This window comes from Homo sapiens, chromosome 10 (genome assembly GCF_000001405.40).
Source record: "Homo sapiens chromosome 10, GRCh38.p14 Primary Assembly".
Classification (NCBI taxonomy): domain Eukaryota; kingdom Metazoa; phylum Chordata; class Mammalia; order Primates; family Hominidae; genus Homo; species Homo sapiens.
The window spans coordinates 132,882,887-132,898,886 of record NC_000010.11 but is presented as its reverse complement, the minus strand read 5'-3'; the positions used below and the strand labels follow the sequence as shown (position 1 = coordinate 132,898,886).

Here is a 16,000-nt window from a genome sequence, read left to right as displayed (position 1 = left end):
GACTCCCAAAGAAAGACAGACCCCACAGGCCTCCCAGAGGGTGCACCAGCACCAGCCGAGGAGGGGAGGGGGTTAAGGGGGGTCTCCAAGTCCCAGCACTGCGGGGGCCCCTGCTGGACTCGGTGCTCAGACCTGACCTCTCCCAGCAACACACATGCACCGAGGGGCTCTCAGCCCTGGAGACACACAGCAGCGGGTAGAGTGAGGCCAGCACAGTCCCTGCCTTAAGAGGCTTGGATTCTAGGCAGGGAGGACAGGCCCCACCTGCCATGAGAGAGGGTGGCCCTGAGAACAGCAAGCAGAGGGCAGGGCAGGGGGCGGGGGCTGGGCCACAGGTGCCTCTGGCGGCTTAAGGCAGAGTGGGGTGGCGGGGAGTGGAGCCCCCAAGGCCCAGGGGATGGGGCAACCCAGGGAGGACGGTTGAAGGAGAGGGGCCAAGTGGACCCAAGAGTGCACCTCCTTCTAGGGCTGTTGGAGGGAGGCTAGGCATGGGTCCTGGAGTGGTCCTGCAGGCCTCTCCAAGAGCAGGAGCCTGGCCAGCTTCTCGCTGGGCACAGACTGGCAGGACAAGCCTCAGCCTTGTGGACTGGGCTTCCTGAGCAGGCGCTGGAGTTGGTGAAGGCTTCGTGCTCCTGGCTCACAGGTCTGTGGATGCAGCTCCCTGCTGGGAGATGGGGAGGCATCCCGCTCCTCCTGGAAAGAGGCTGAGACTCTCGGGTTGGGGTCAGTCTCCAGACCAGGGCTGAGCCAGACCAGCCCACTCTGAGCTCTCTTCTGCTGGCCTCAGCTGTAACCAGGAATCAGGAGTCAGCCACAGAGAACCCACAAAACGGGGCCCTTCTAAGAGAAGCAGAGCTGCATAACCCAAAGCTCCAGTGGGAGGAGGAGGACGGGAGTGGGGCACCAGACAGCAGGCAGAGACAGTGGGTGCGGCTACAGAAGCCGCTGCGCTGGATCCTCAGATGCATGCCCAAGGCAGCTTCTTGGCCTGACTTTGAAAAGGCTGTGTCGGGGCCTCTGGGCTGTCCAGCCCACCCCAGCCTCTCTCCCCATGCTGGCCTCCTCCGGGGGACTGCCTCCTCATCCAGTGTGGTCTAGGCAAAGGGACCCTCCTCGGCTGGCTCCCCCAGGAAGCCTGGGTCTGAGCTCTGTGCAGAGCTGCCTCTGGAGCCAGACTGGAGAGTACGGAGGCAAGCCAAGGCTGCTCCACCTGGCCTGCCGACCTGCCAACCTGCCAACCTGCCAACCCACACATGGCCATCCTGTGGGCCAGATGCAGCTTCCTGGCCCCAGGGCTTAGCCTCCCACTGGCGCTGCCCAGCACATTTTCTGGCTGCCCAGGAAGACCAGAGTAGATTTTTACTGCTTGTGACCAAGAGTCCTGGCTGACCTAGATATGCGGTTCCTACCAACCTGCGGTGTGCGGCGGGGCCTGTGAAGGGAGAGCCCACGGACAGTGAGGGCCGTAGCAGACGGAGGTTCATGCCAGAGAGCCTCAGGACAGAGCCTGCATATTAATCCCTCAGCAGATACCTGATTTGCAAGTATTTTCTCCCATTCTCTGGGTTAACTTTTCACTCATTTGATCATGCCATTTGATGCATAAATGTTCCTAATTTTTAAGAGGTTCAGTTTATCTATTTTTTCTTTTGTTGCCTGTGTCTTTGGTGTCATATCCCTGGTCCTGCTACATCTAATACCATGAGGATTTTCTCCATTATTTTCTTCTAAGAATTTTGTAGCTTTAGCTCTTAAGTTTAGATCTTTGATCCATTTGAGTTAAGTTTTGCATATGGTATTAGGTAAAGGTTCAACATCAGCCTTTTCCATGTGGATATCCAGTTTTTCCAGCACCACTTGAAGAGACTGTGCTTTCCCTAGTGAATGGTCTTGGCACTGTTGCTGAAAATAATTTGACCAGAAATGCAGGGATTTATTTTGGGGCTCTCTATTCTATTTCACCGGCCTGTATGGTATCATTTTGCCAACACTATGCTATTTGAGTCACTGTAGCTTTGTCATATGTTTCCAAGTTGGGAAGTGTGGGTCCTCCAACTTTGTTCTTTTTCAAGATTGTTTTAGCTGTCTGGGGCCCCTTGCAATTCCATATGAATTTGAGGATCAGTTTTTTAATTCCATATGAATGTGAGGATCATTTTTTAAAATTATATATATTTTTAAAAAGACTATTGTAACCCATAGGGATTGCGTTGAATACTGCTTTGGGTAGTATTGACATTTTAACAATGTTAAGGCTTCCTATCCATGAACATGGTCTATCTTTTTGTTTATTTAGATCTTTAATTTCTTTCAGCAACCTTTTATAGTTTTTAGCATGTAAGTCTTTCACCTCTTTGGTTAGATTTATTACTAAGTATTTAATTTTTTAAGGTGCTGTTATAAACAGGAATGCTTTCTGTCTTAGCTTGGGCTGCCATAACAAAATACCATAGACTGGATGGCTTAATTTATTTATCAAAGTCTGGATCTGGAAGTCTGAGATCAGGGAGCCAGCGTGGCTGGGTTCTGGTGAGGAACATCTTCCTGGCCATCAATGCCTGGATGCCTTCTCACTGTGTCTTCATGTGGCACACACAGCCTGGCTGCCTTCTCACCATGTCTTCATGTGGCACACACAGCCTGGCTGCCTTCTCACTGTGTCTCATGGCACACAGAGCCTAGCTGCCTTCTCGCCGTGTCTCATGGCACACAGAGCCTGGCTGCCTTCTCACCGTGTCTTCATGTGGCACACAGAGCCTGGCTGCCTTCTCACCATGTCTTCATGTGGCACACAGAGCCTGGCTGCCTTCTCACCATGTCTTCATGTGGCACACAGAGCCTGGCTGCCTTCTCACCGTGTCTTCATGTGGCACACAGAGCCTGGCTGCCTTCTCGCCGTGTCTCATGGCACACAGAGCCTAGCTGCCTTCTCGCCGTGTCTCATGGCACACAGAGCCTGGCTGCCTTCTCACCGTGTCTTCATGTGGCACACAGAAGGAGAGAGCAAGCTCTCTGGTGTCTTTTCTTAAAGTGCACCAACTTCATTGTGAGGACCCCACTCTCGTGACCTTATCTAACGTCAATTACCTCCCAGAGGCCCTGTCGCCAAATACCACCACAGTGAGGGTTAGAGTCTCAGGATATGAATTTTGGGGGCACACAGCTCAGTCTATAGAACTTTCTTTCTAATTTCATTTTTGGAGTTTTCATTCCTGGTGAATAAAAACACAGCTGATTGTTGTGTGTTGATCTTGTGCCCTGCAACTTTTCTGAATTCATTAATTGGCTCTAATAGTTTTCTTGTGGATTTGTAAGAATTTTCTCTGTATAGGATCATGTCATCTGTGAATAGAGATAGTTTTACCTCTTCTTTTCCAGTATAGCACACACAGCCTGGCTGCCTTCTCACCGTGTTCTTTCTTGTTGTTGTCCAGTAGCTCTGGCCAGAGCCTCTGGTGGAATAGCAGCAGTGGAAGCAGTGGCCTTGTCTTGTTCCTGGTCTTAGTGAGAGAGCTTCAGCCTCACCATTGCATGTGACGTGAGCTGTGGGTCTTTCCATAAGGACCCTTTATCATGTTGAGGAATTTTCTATTTCTAGTTTTCTGAGAGTTTTTATCATGAAATAGTGTGGGTCTTGCCAAATGCCTTTTCTCTGTCAATTGAGCCGGTTGTGTGGTTTTTCTCCTTTGTTCTGTTAATGCTGAATACTGTGCATCACGCTGACTGATCTGCACACAGTGAGCCACCATTGCATCTCTCATAAATCCTACTTGGTCATTATAAGTCATCTTTTTAATATGCTGTTGGATTTCATTTGCTAATCTTTTGTGGAGGATTTTTGCACCTGTATTCATAAGGGATATTGATCTATAATTTTCTTTTCTTGTGATGTCTTTATCTGGATTTGATAGCAGAGTAATGCTGGCCTCATAGGGTGAACCCAGGAGTGTTTCTTTTTCTTTAAATTTTTGAAGAGTCAATAAGGATTGTTGCTAATGCTTCTTTAAATGTTTGATGGGAGTCACTGATGAAGCCATATAGTCCAGGATTTTTCTTTATTAAGAGGCTTTTGATTACTAATTTAATCTCTTATTATAAGTCTGTTGAGATTTTCTATTTCTTCCTGAGTCAGTCTGGGTGTGTTTGGAGGGATTTGTTCATTTTTTCTAGATTATCTAATTTGTTGGTGTGCAAATGTTCATAGGATTTTCTTATAATCCTTTTTATCTCCCTGAGGTCGGTAGTAATGTCTCCACTTGCCTTACTTATTTTAGTTATTTGAATAGTCTTTCTTTTTTTTTTGTCAGTTAGCTAAAGGCTTGTCAATTTTGTTGATCTTTTTGAAGAACCAACTTTTAAACAGTAGATTTTCTTTATTGTTTTTCTGTTATCTATTTTTGTCTGTGCTCTGATCTCTATTATTTCCTTCCTTCTGCTAGTGTTTTAGTTCCTTATGATGTAAAGTTGATTATTGAGTTGAGATCCTTCTTTAATACAGCATTTACAGTGGTGAACTCCCTCTGAGATTGGCTCTCACTGCCTCCCGTAAGTTTTATCTAATGTGCTTTTCATCACATTGATTTAGAGCCATGAAACCAACTTAGATGTTCCATGTCATTGAAAAAGCTCTCAATTATGTTAGGGGAGCAGTTGCAGACTTTTTGTGACTTAGTATTTCAGAAATTTAGCTGCAATATCTGTAACTAGATAGAGCCAAATTCTTAGCAGCAGATATATTTGAGTCACACACCACCAAAGTACATTACCAGCGGCAAATCCACAGGGGGCTGCAGCAACCTCAAAGCGTGTTACCAGCGGCGAACCCTCAGGGGGCTGCAGCAACCTCAAAGTGTGTTACCAGTGGCAAACCCACAGGGGGCTGCAGCAACCTCAAAGTGTGTTACCAGCAGTGAACCCACAGGGGGCTGCAGCAACCTCAAAGTGTGTTACCAGTGGCAAACCCACAGGGGGCTGCAGCAACCTCAAAGCGTGTTACCTGCGGCAAACCCACAGGGGGCTGCAGCAACCTCAGTTCTTGCCTCCTCAGAAGAAAGACTTCAACTGAGGAGCATAAAGCAGAAGGAGAGACAGAGGCAAGTCTTAGAGCAGGAGTGAGAGTTTATCAAAGAGCTTTAGAACAGGAAAGAAAGTACACTGGGAAGAGGCCGAGCGGGAGACCTGAGAGATCACGTGCATGGCTCACCTTTGACTTGGGGGTCTCACACTGTTGCGGGACTTTTGCTCAGTTCAGCTAAAGACGGGGTCCTTGTCACATTGCCACAAAAGATGAGGCTCATAGACAATTTGAAGGGTGAGAAAGGCAGGATTTTATTGGGTAGAAAGGAAGAAAAAAGGGAAACAGAGACTCTTAGTGAAGCGAGAGAGTGTTTCCTGCCAGTGCACTTCCCACCTCACCAAATGAATCCCAGGTTCACCCAGGAGGAGGAGGGGCCAGGCTCCTCCCCGCTGCAAGTGGCGTGAGCCTCTGTGGCTCCACCCCAGTGCACATTCCTCCCAGTGAGCAGCTGATCAGAGATTCTCTGGGGACCCCTTCCCACCTGGCTGTCTCAATACATTGGCTGACTTCCAGCGTATTGCATGATTTCTCCCCAGATGCTTCCCTTGCAGTGGACTGTCCACGTGTACGGTGGCTGCCTGCACTTGGGAGGGGCCGCATGCCCAGTGTGTTTACTGGAGTTTTGCACGTGCTCAGTTGAGGTGGTCCCTTACCAGTCACGGTGTTCCTAGAGGAAGGTCATAGACCAGTGAAACTCCGCCATTTTGCCTCTCAGTGTGCGTGCTTGAGCCCGCTCACCCAACTCCTGAGATCTTATCGGGAAGCTACTCATTACCAGTTTTAGGTTTTTTATGTCTCTTGGGAGATGGCCTTTCCCTGGTGCTGGCTGAGACCAGTTATTATTTTAGAGAGACAGTTAACAGCTGCCTGACCATCACCTGATGGTTGCCTGAAGTTCCTGGTGTGGGGCGGGGGGCCTCTCCTGCCCCACTCATGTTTGACTAGCTACCTACTATAACAAAATGAAAAGCAAAATGGTGTCAACCTAAAAGGAAGAAGCTGAGGCAAAACTGGTGTAAATAGAGAGTTTACCTGGGCCAAGTTTGACGGTTGTAATCCGGAAGCATCGATTCAAGCGGCGCTGAACGTGCACTCCAATCAGAGGCAGTTCCAAGTGGGTTTTTAAAGGGAATTAAGAGGCAGTTCCTGAGTTGTTTGCCAAAAATTTACATTAAAATAACTTAAGTTATTAATTGGCTGTAGATTGTTAAGCTTTAGAATTTGGCAATAGTGGCCGGTACAACATTGTCAGGTTAATTTACAGCTGCTTATGGCAATAGCAAGCAGTTTAAGGAGAGGAACACAGAGCTCAGAGGGGGAGTTTCTTATCTCATGGTGAAAGACTGTCTTGCAACTTTCAAATATACGTGTCGTTTACTTGCGTTACTTTAGGAGAAAGGAAAGACGCTGCTTCTGCACCAGTGGCCCACGGCCGACTTCCAGGGTGGCGGGACGACCGAAGGATATTTTCTTCCAGGTTTGTAGCAGGACAGACAGACCCACAGGCTCCAGGTACAAGGAAAGGGAAGGACTTGAGCCAATTTTAAACGTGGTGCTTTTAAATTCCCATGCCCTGACGTGAAGCCACTTGGCAGTAACTCCAGATAATGTCTGTTCAGCATCTGATGCATGCCAGGCGCCTGAGTGCTCTTCAGGAATGAGCCCATGAAATTCCCTTTCAACGTGCAATGAAGCCAGAGCCGGGACCTTCTGACTGTCCATGAAAACAGTCAAACTCTGTAACTATTGGAAGAGATTGATGCTGAGCCACGTGTGAGGAGCATGACCCGTGACACAGCCCCTGGAGGTCCTGAGAACTTGGGCCCAAGGTCGTTGGTTTATAGCTTGATTTTGTACATTTTAGGGGAACAGGAGTTACAGGCAGAGACATCAATGCATGTCTGGTGCACATTGGTTTGGTCCAGAAGGTGGGACAACTCAGAGGGGAGGCTTCCAGGTCACTGGTAGATTCAAGATTTTCTGATTGACAATTTGTTGAAAGAGTTATTATCTAAAGACCTGGAATCAATAGAAAGGAATGTCTGGGTTTAGATGAGGAGTTGTGGAGACCAAGGTTTTTATCTTGCAGATGAAGCCTCCAGGTAGCCGGCTTCCGAGCTCTTCTCAGACAAAAAGGCACCAGACTCTTGGTTAATTCTCCCCTGGCTCAGGGAAAAGCCCTGGAGAGGGAAAAGGGCATTCTCCACAGCATGTGGATTTTCCCCACAAGAGACAGCTGTGCGGGCCCCTTCAAAATATGTCAGAGAAAGATACTTGGGTATGAAATACTTGGATCTCTTTCAGGCCTGCTATCTGTCATGCGATGCTATGCTAGAGTCAGGCTGGAACTTGGTGTCTTACGGCTACAAAGCGTCCACTCTGTCAGCCTTAAGAGCTCTGTTTTCATGTGGATGCTGGTCCATTGTGCCTGAGCTCCAAAGGGAGAGGGGATGATGAGGCCTGTCCACCCTTGCCCCCTACCACCCCCGACCCCACCAAACTCGTTTTTCAGGCATACTTCAGAAGGCCCTTGGCCGAGAGGAGGGCCCATTCAGTCGGTTGGGGGGCTTAGAATGTTATTTTTGGTTTACATGAACCTTGTCCAGGGCCACACACCCCTGAGTGCAGAGTGGGCACTGTCCCCCTGGTCGTGGCTGCCGCGAAGTCTGGCCTCTAGGCTGTGCTCACAGATAAATCGCATTTTTCTACTTCCACAAAAAACGTGGACACACACTCCTGCAAAAACAAACACACAAAAACGCATACTGACTTCAGAACAATAGAACCATATTAGAATACCAATTCATGTTTATAGAAAAAAAATTGTCTGCTAAAAAAAATTATCCCTGTTAAGAGTCCTAAGGTGTATTTGGGAAATCTTTAAATGCTGTGGAATAGAAAAGTGGAACCTACCTTGAGCATTAGAGTCTATTTAGAGAAGCAAAGTTGATTTAAAATAATAAACAAAAGTGTGGCCATGTGTAATTACTAAGGTGAGTACTAACCCCAGCAGTGTGTGTGGTTTGCTGGTCCTGCAGGCATGAGCCCGACGCACACGGCAAGTCCGTCCACTGAGAGGCTAGGCTGCAGCAGAGGAAGGGTTAATCCTAGGGTTGCTGAGCAGGAGATGGGGATACAGCCTCAGACCCACCTCCCTGAGGAGTTTGGGGATAGGGGTCTCGAGGGTTTTGGAGAGGACGGAAGTGTGGAAGAGCGCAGGGTCTTGGGAAGGCATTCCTGGGCCAATCCCTACCCGCTCCTCTGGGGGGGACTCCGCACTGGTTGCTGGCATTCAGGGTCTGAAAAATATCCTAAGTGATCCTTCAACCAAAGCCTTAGGGTTCTGACGTCAGAGGCCCATCATAGGAGTGACGGGGGTCCAAGTGACTTTTAGCAGCAAGGATGTGTCCAGGGTGCAGCCTGGTTACTGCTCAGTCATAACTACTTTCTGTCCACAACCCGGCATGTGATTCTTGTCAGCCCTGTGGGGTGTTTCACGAGGACAGAGATGTGGATCAGGGCACTGGGGAGGCAGAAGGCAGCCCAGACCCCTTCAGTACGTGGCTCGGGCAGAGGAGGCTGTGGAGGGTGTTTTGTGCCTCTGGGCAGCCCAGACCCCTTCAGAATGTGACCCGGGCAGAGGAGGCTGTGGAGGGGGGTTTTGTGCCTCTGGGCAGAACCTGGAAGCCACGCTATATTTTACTCCTTTCACCAAAATAAACATCAGACAGGTCGAATAAGTCGTTTTAAAAATTCAAATTCTAGAAAAAAATCAGAAAGTAGAATTGAGCATAGCAGAGATTTTGTGGAAAGGAGCACTTTTCACAGATACGAAAATGTACGCTCCTGAATCCTGATAAGTGCAGAACAGTAAGAAGTGAACAGACGGGAAGATACTCACACCACGTCTGGCAGCTAAATGCTTAGCGTCCAGGCCGCATCAATACTTTAATCAGGCGGGACGGCCATGCTGTGCTGTGGAAACACGAGGCCCAGAGCTCAGCACAGGCACATTCCTCCTCATGCACAGTCCACGGCCCTCACCCACCCGGAGGCACCATGGAGCTGACGGCCTCCGGGGAGGAGGAGACGGTCCACAGGAATGCATGAGGGGTGGGGTCCGGCTGCAGTGCCTCCGCCCGTGAATTGGATGTGTACTGGGTGGTCCCAGGACATGGCTGTGGGTCAATCAGGAGGTCACACCTCAAAGTGAGCCCTCCACTTAGGCAGGATTGAAGAGGACTCCCTGCGACCCTATGTGTGGTTTCCAAGTTCATTGGACCCTGGTTTAATGAATTCAAGCAGGAGGAAGCAGGGCTCAGGGTTCCCAAGTTTCAGACGCAGACCCGCTTCTCTGGCCAGTGCCTGGGTGAGGAGGGCCTGGCAGAGTGTGAAGGCCACAGTGAGCCCACAGATCCCAGCATCCAATGGGGTGCCGCCCTCCTAGCCATGGGTGCCTTCCTTCCAGCCATGGGCACCTCTGCTCCCTAGACCCAGCCGGTCGGCTCTGGAGAATGCAGTCTCATGAAAAATGAGTCAGAGAAGGGAAAGAAGTCTCCACACTCTGTGACGTAAGCCTCGGTGGTCCAGGTGCTGGCACCAGAGGCGGGTCCTGCTGATAGCATGACGGGGCTGGTGCAGGATGACACGGACTCCAGCCCTCAGCACTGTGGCCTGCAGAGTGCTGGGGGAGGGCGCTGGGAGAAAGGGGTTTGTCTTTCCTTGGGGTCATACTGTTTATCTTTAAAATTACAGAAAAGCACCAGACTTCTGAAAAGAGAAAGGGCGTGAGGGGCTGCGTAGTCTGAGAAGGCTCCAGAGGGTGGGTGGAGGCGGGAGCCTTCCTGACCTGGCCCAGAGACCCGCAAGCAGCACAGCAGGGCCAGTGGGGGTGGCAGGTGCAGGCGGCAGGGGTGAAGGTGGCAGGTGCAGGCGGCAGGGGTGAAGGTGGCAGGTGCAGGCGGCAGGGGTGAAGGTGGCAGGTGCAGGCGGCAGGGGTGAAGGTGGCAGGTGCAGGCGGCAGGGGTGAAGGTGGCAGGTGCAGGCGGCAGGGGTGAAGGTGGCAGGGGTGAAGGTGGCAGGTGCAGGCGGCAGGGGTGCAGGCGGCAGGGGTGAAGGTGGCAGGTGCAGGCGGCAGGGGTGAAGGTGGCAGGTGCAGGCGGCAGGGGTGCAGGCGGCAGGGGTGAAGGCGGCAGGGGTGAAGGTGGCAGGGGTGCAGGCGGCAGGGGTGCAGGCGGCAGGGGTGCAGGCGGCAGGGGTGAAGGTGGCAGGTGCAGGCGGCAGGGGTGAAGGTGGCAGGTGCAGGCGGCAGGGGTACAGGCGGCAGGGGTGAAGGTGGCAGGTGCAGGCGGCAGGGGTGAAGGTGGCAGGGGTACAGGCGGCAGGGGTGAAGGCGGCAGGGGTGCAGGCGGCAGGGGTGCAGGCGGCAGGGGTGAAGGTGGCAGGTGCAGGCGGCAGGGGTGAAGGTGGCAGGTGCAGGCGGCAGGGGTGAAGGTGGCAGGGGTACAGGCTATGGAAGCACCCAGGATGGGAGCCAGGTGAGGGGTGGCAGGGTGTGGAGACAGCCAGGAAAACCCAAGACCCGCTACCATTAGACGGGGTGGAGCCCGCATTGGTGCCCACTATGGTTCTCGGGCGCTCGATGCAGCAGAAATTGACTTGAGATCCAAAGAGTTTTCCAGACGAGGCTTCACTGAAGCTTATTCCTGGGATGAGAGAGGGAGAGGGGAGAGGGAGAGAAGAGGAGAGAGAGAGGAGGGGAGAGGAGAGAGAGAAGAGGGGAGAGGAGAGAAGAGGGGAGAGGAGAGAGAGAAGAGGGGAGAGGAGAGAGAGAGGAGCGGAGAGAGAGAGGAGCGGAGAGAGAGAGGTGAAAGAGGAGAGAGGAGAGGAGAGAGAAGAAGGGAGAGGAGAGAAGAGGAGAGAGGAGAGGAGAGAGAAGAAGGGAGAGGAGAGAAGGGGAGAGGAGAGGAGAGAGAAGAAGGGAGAGGAGAGAAGAGGGGAGAGGAGAGAAGAGGGGAGAGGAGAGGAGAGAGAAGAAGGGAGAGGAGAGAAGAGGGGAGAGGAGAGAGAGAAGAGGGGAGAGGAGAGAGAGAGGAGCGGAGAGAGAGAGGAGAGGAGAGAGAGAGGAGAGGAGAGAGAGAGGTGAAAGAGGAGAGAGGAGAGGAGAGAGAAGAAGGGAGAGGAGAGAAGAGGAGAGAGGAGAGGAGAGAAGAAGGGAGAGGAGAGAAGAGGGGAGAGGAGAGGAGAGAGAAGAAGGGAGAGGAGAGAAGAGGGGAGAGGAGAGAGGAGAGGAGAGAGAGAGGAGAGGAAATAGGCGAGAGGGGAGAGAGGAGAGGAGAGAGAGAAGAGGGGAGAGGAGAGAGAAGAGGGGAGAGGAAAGAAGAGGGGAGGAGAGAGGAGAGGAGAGAGAGAAGCGAGAGAGGAGAGAGAGAAGAGGGGAGAGGAAAGAAGAGGGGAGGAGAGGAGAGGAGAGAGAGAAGCGAGAGAGGAGAGAGGGGAGAGAAGAGGGGAGAGGAAAGAAGAGGGGAGGAGAGAGGAGAGGAGAGAGAGAAGCGAGAGAGGAGAGAGAAGAGGGGAGAGGAGAGAGAGAAGAGGGGAGAGGAAAGAAGAGGAGAGAGGAGAGAGAGAAGAGGGGAGAGGAAAGAAGAGAGAGGAGAGAGAGAAGTGAGAGAGGACAGAGGAGAGGAGAGAGAGAGGTGAAAGAGGAGAGAGGAGAGGAGAGAGAGAAGTGAGAGAGGAGAGGAGAGAGGCCAGAGAGAAGATGAGAGGAGAAAGAAGAGAGAAGAGAGCAGAGAGAGAGGCGAGAGAGAGAGAAGAGAAAAGAGAGAAGACAGATCCTTCACTGACCTCTGAAAGAGCTGGGAGGGTGTGGGAATTACCGTCAGGGGAAGGGTGTGCAGGCTGGGCTGGGCAGCGCCCATGACGGGGAGGGGACGCGTCAGCATTCTAGTCGCCATGGCTGTGTTGGGTCGGGGGCAGCAACAAGGCACAGACCCGCCACTCAGCACCCCTTCCCGAGGTGGGGCCTCCATGGCCTTGGTTTGATGTTTTGGATCTCCCGGGGCTCTTGGAATCCTTGAGGTAAAAGGACTCTTGGCCGGAAGGTGGCAGAGTGGGCTGGGTTCTGTGCTCACTGGGGATGTGTGAGGGATGCGGCCCTGTGTTCACCCCGTCTCTTCAGGGCCCTTCAAGTTCATCTGCAGCTCGCCCAGACACTGAGGGTTCCATCCCACCAGGATCCACCCTGCTGGCTTCGTGCATTTGGGGGCACTGATGGCCCACAGGGCGCCCTATGGAGGCTGGGTGGGGCTCACCTCCCGGCAGGCAGGCGATTTTTGTGTGTGCCCTGAAGGCAGGCACCTTTGCCTCTGCGTGTCACATGGCTCCGCTGCCTGCGTGGAGACTCGGGGATTGTTCCCGTGCTGCGGGCACCAAGCATGAGGACTCCCGAGCGTGCACGTGGCGCTGTGTCCTCGGCCGCGGGGGAGCTTTCCATGCAACTCCTGAAAGGACCCCAAGTCCTGCTCGCCAATCTTTAATACGTGGAAACACAGGTCTGTGTTTGTGAACGCAGAATTCTCCAAGGAGATGGAGAGTGACAGGCAGCAAGGAGACAAGACAGCTGCTTCCTGCAACGGAAAGGGCATCCCGGGTGGCCACTGTGGGGCTGGAGGGGCCATGCAGGTCCACAGCTCACTTCAGCCCTGCGGGGCATGCGCTGGCCTGGGCACCTCTGTAGCCGCGGTTCCACCTCAGGGGCACTGTGATGGGCAGCTTAGTCTGGGAGGTCCGAGGGCGCCTTTGATGAGGGATCAGGCGGCTCCAAGGACACCCCTCCTTCTCCCTCCCAGGGGCTGAGGACGACCTGGCGCTCCGTGCTGCGCTCTACGGCCTGCTCTTCCACAGCCATGCCGACCAGGACGACTGGGAGGGCGGCCTCAAGGTGCTGGACGAGGCTGTGCAGGTGCTGCCAAGGACGGCCCACCGCCTGTGAGTGCTCCCCCCACCGCCTGTGAGTGCTCCCTCCACCGCCTGAGTGCTCCCCCCACCGCCTGTGAGTGCTCCCCACACCGCCTGTGAGTGCTCCACCCACTGCATCCCCACCGGGGGTGTGCTCCCCCACCGGAGTGTGCTCCCCCCACCACCTGCTGCTCCCCCACCGGAGTGTGCTCCCCCCATCACCTGTGAGCACCTGCCTGCTGCTCCCCCACCCAGAGTGTGCTCCCCTGCTCCACGCTGTCCCCCTCTGCCTGGGCCTCCCCAGGTTCCCACTTGCACTGGAAGACTTGACTTCCCCAGGAGAATTCAACACAGGGAGAGCGGGGACTGAAAACCCTGCATAGCCCCGAGGCCCCCGCTCACCCCCGAGACCCCCGCGTAGCCCCGAGACCCCCGCTCACCTGGGCTCTGCTTTGCTTCGTCTTTTTAAGCTGGAGGTGGAGGAATAAGTCCGGGCTGCATCACCCACGTTTAAAATTCTGCCACCCGATCCTGACGTTGGTTTCTCACCTTCCCTTTCTTTAGCTTGATCTTCAAGCACATGGTCATCGTGAAGGCCAAGCTCGGGCAGAATTTTTCGATGGAAATACAGAAATTCAAGGCCGAGAGTGAGGACTACTTGGCGCGCATGTGGCACCGCCTGGCCCTGAACTCGCCGAGCGTGTCTGGAGAGCTGGCCTGCTACAACAACGCCATCCAGGCCTTGCAGGTGTGAAGCCGTAAGCGTGGGTGCACGTGGTAAAATTTGTCCTTTAGTGAAAGGGAGAACCGTGTGGACAGAAGCTCAGCAGGGACCTGGTGTGGGGCAGCACGCAGAGCAGCCACAGCTGACGGGCACAGAGAATGCACCGCGTGGCCCCGGGCACTCCTCTTGCTGACCAGTCAGGGACGAGGGATGGAGCTGGTTTCAGTGGTCCCTTTCCAGCATGGAGGGGTCGTGGTCAGGTCCTCGTCCCTGAGCAGGGTGAGGGGGGCCCAGAGGGTGATGCCCCAAGTGGAAGCGCCCAGGCTCCCCTGGTGGCACCAGGGCCCCGATGGGCGGGTGGCTGCAGAGGAGAGCAGGCAGGGGCCCCGATGGGCGGGTGGCTGCACAGGAGAGCAGGGCTCTGCAGGGCCCTGGGATGTGGGCGTTCTGGGGATGTTGGCGTCTCTTCCCCACCCCCAGGAAGGCGAGATGGACGTTCCCCTTGGGGTGGGCTCAGGAGGAGGTGGGTGCTTTGGCGTTGATTTGATGCCTCTGCTTGTCAGGGGCAAGGGCCATGTGGTATGCACCTGAGAACTTCATCTTGGGGACGAAAAGGCATCCCAGGCCCCTGGTGTGAAAGGCATGAACCTTTCAACATTAGTGAAGATCTTAAAAGGCTTTTCTGTTACACGAGCTGTTTCTCCGGCTCAGAGCAATCCTGCCCCGAGGCCTTTGGATTGTTCTGGGGTCCAGGGGGCCCTTGGCATCGGGAACTGAGGATGGTTGGGGGTCTCTGACGGTGCTGTGTGAGTGCCGGCTCAGGGCACTGGGTGATCAAGGCAGACGCCTGGGTACCACCGTGGGGAGCCACAGGGAGCCACTGCTCCTCGCTCCGGGGAACCAGAGGCCACGTCGTTCCTCGGCAGTTGCCCTGCTAGGGTTCGCGGGTATCAGGCAGGGACCTGGCTGCCTCCAGGGAAAGCAGGAAGGGCCTGAGGAGGGGAGGCTGCGGGCGGCTGGGGAAGGCAGGACCCAGCTGAGCTGCACTGGGCCTCGGGGCAGAAACCCTTGAAAGTGTTTTCTGTCTTCACTTACCCGAGTCCTTCCTTCAGTTGTCTTTGTTAGAGGTACAACATGTTTTTAGTAAATTCTCAGGGTTATATAATCACCCACACACAATTTTAGAAGGTTTCATCACCCCCCAGCAATCCTGCATCCATCAGCACTCACTCCCCATCCTTCTCTCCCTCCATTGGCCCCAGCAAGCCACAGATCTGGACATTTTCTGTAAACAGAGCCAAGCATTACGTGGTCCTTCATGCAGCATGACATCGCCCAGGGCCATCCCCATCATTCCCGTTTAGGACTGAGTCGTATTCCGTTATGTGTCTTACAGTCCACAGATGGCTATTTGTGTTGCTTCCCATTGTCTGCCTGCTGTGAGGAATGCTGTGGTCAGCATTTGCTCCCGAGTTCTGGCGTGGCCCGGTCCTCGTCCCCCGGGGGCACAGCCCAGCAGTGGAGTTGCTGGGCACACGGTCGCCCTGTGTGGGGCCATCAGATGAAGTGCCAGATTGTCTCCCACAGCGGCCTCACAGGGTTGCCTTCCCGCCTGCAGGGCGTGGGCTGCGGTTTCTCCACACGCTCACCAGCTCTTGATGTCGTCTGACTATTCTAGCTGTGCCGGCAGGGGTGAAAGGGGTGTCTCCTCGTGTTTGCCTGTATTTTCCCAGCCACTGATGATGGGGTGCATATTCCCATGTGCTTATGGGCCATTTGTAGGTTGTTGGAGAAGTGTTCATTGCAGTCCTTTGCCCATTTTTAATCTGGTTGGTTGGTTTTCGTTGCTTTAGAGGAGCTCATGGTGTATCGTGGATGCAGGTTCTTTAGCAGGAGCCTCATCTACAAACCCTTTCTCGTTCTGTGAGCTGCTTTTTCAGCCACGTCTCCACTTTCTGGATGCCATGATTTGTGGCACAAACACGTTTTAAATTGTGATGAAATTCTAGTTGTCTGTGTCTTGTTTTGTTGCTTGTGTTTCTGGCATTATATCTGCGAAACTGTTGCATAACCCAAGGTCTTGAAGGTTGGTTCCCCTGTTTTCTTCTGAGTTTTATGGTTGTAGCTGTTATGTTAATGAGTTATACAGTGTGAGGCAGGGTCCCCGGCACTCCTCAGCCTGTGGATGCCAGCTGGCCCCGCACTTCTGTTGAGAAGATGACCTGCTCTCCCTTGAACCT

General features: G+C 53.5%; 1 protein-coding gene across 17 annotated transcripts in view, besides 4 other annotated features; it reads left to right on the top strand.

Moving 5' to 3' along the window:
• The window catches only part of CFAP46 (cilia and flagella associated protein 46), a 134,179-nt gene that overhangs the window by 43,684 nt on the left and 74,495 nt on the right, over positions 1 to 16,000 (top strand). For all 17 annotated transcript variants that reach the window (XR_007061969.1, XR_007061970.1, XR_007061971.1 and 14 more), the window contains exons 25-27: positions 6,470 to 6,554; positions 12,928 to 13,066; positions 13,601 to 13,784. Coding sequence is in view for 14 of the 17 variants with exons in the window: in NM_001200049.3 (NP_001186978.2) it covers positions 6,470 to 6,554; positions 12,928 to 13,066; positions 13,601 to 13,784 (408 nt within the window). In the remaining 3 variants the exon portion in view is untranslated. The remainder of the gene's footprint in view (positions 1 to 6,469; positions 6,555 to 12,927; positions 13,067 to 13,600; positions 13,785 to 16,000) is intronic.
• Positions 5,531 to 6,031: an enhancer, noted in NCBI's record as "H3K4me1 hESC enhancer chr10:134706360-134706860 (GRCh37/hg19 assembly coordinates)". NCBI's record gives its function as "activates a minimal SCP1, AML or CMV promoter by ChIP-STARR-seq in primed H9 embryonic stem cells {active_cell/tissue: H9 hESC(primed)}" and the evidence as "EXISTENCE:reporter gene assay evidence [ECO:0000049][PMID:30033119]".
• Positions 5,531 to 6,920: a biological region, named in NCBI's record as "MED14-independent group 3 enhancer GRCh37_chr10:134705471-134706670".
• Positions 5,721 to 6,920: an enhancer, noted in NCBI's record as "MED14-independent group 3 enhancer chr10:134705471-134706670 (GRCh37/hg19 assembly coordinates)". NCBI's record gives its function as "activates an origin of replication core promoter dependent on BRD2, BRD4, P300/CBP and CDK7 cofactors, and independent of MED14, by STARR-seq in HCT116 cells {active_cell/tissue: HCT116}" and the evidence as "EXISTENCE:reporter gene assay evidence [ECO:0000049][PMID:35650434]".
• Positions 9,741 to 10,269: an enhancer, noted in NCBI's record as "H3K27ac-H3K4me1 hESC enhancer chr10:134702122-134702650 (GRCh37/hg19 assembly coordinates)". NCBI's record gives its function as "activates a minimal SCP1, AML or CMV promoter by ChIP-STARR-seq in naive H9 embryonic stem cells {active_cell/tissue: H9 hESC(naive)}" and the evidence as "EXISTENCE:reporter gene assay evidence [ECO:0000049][PMID:30033119]".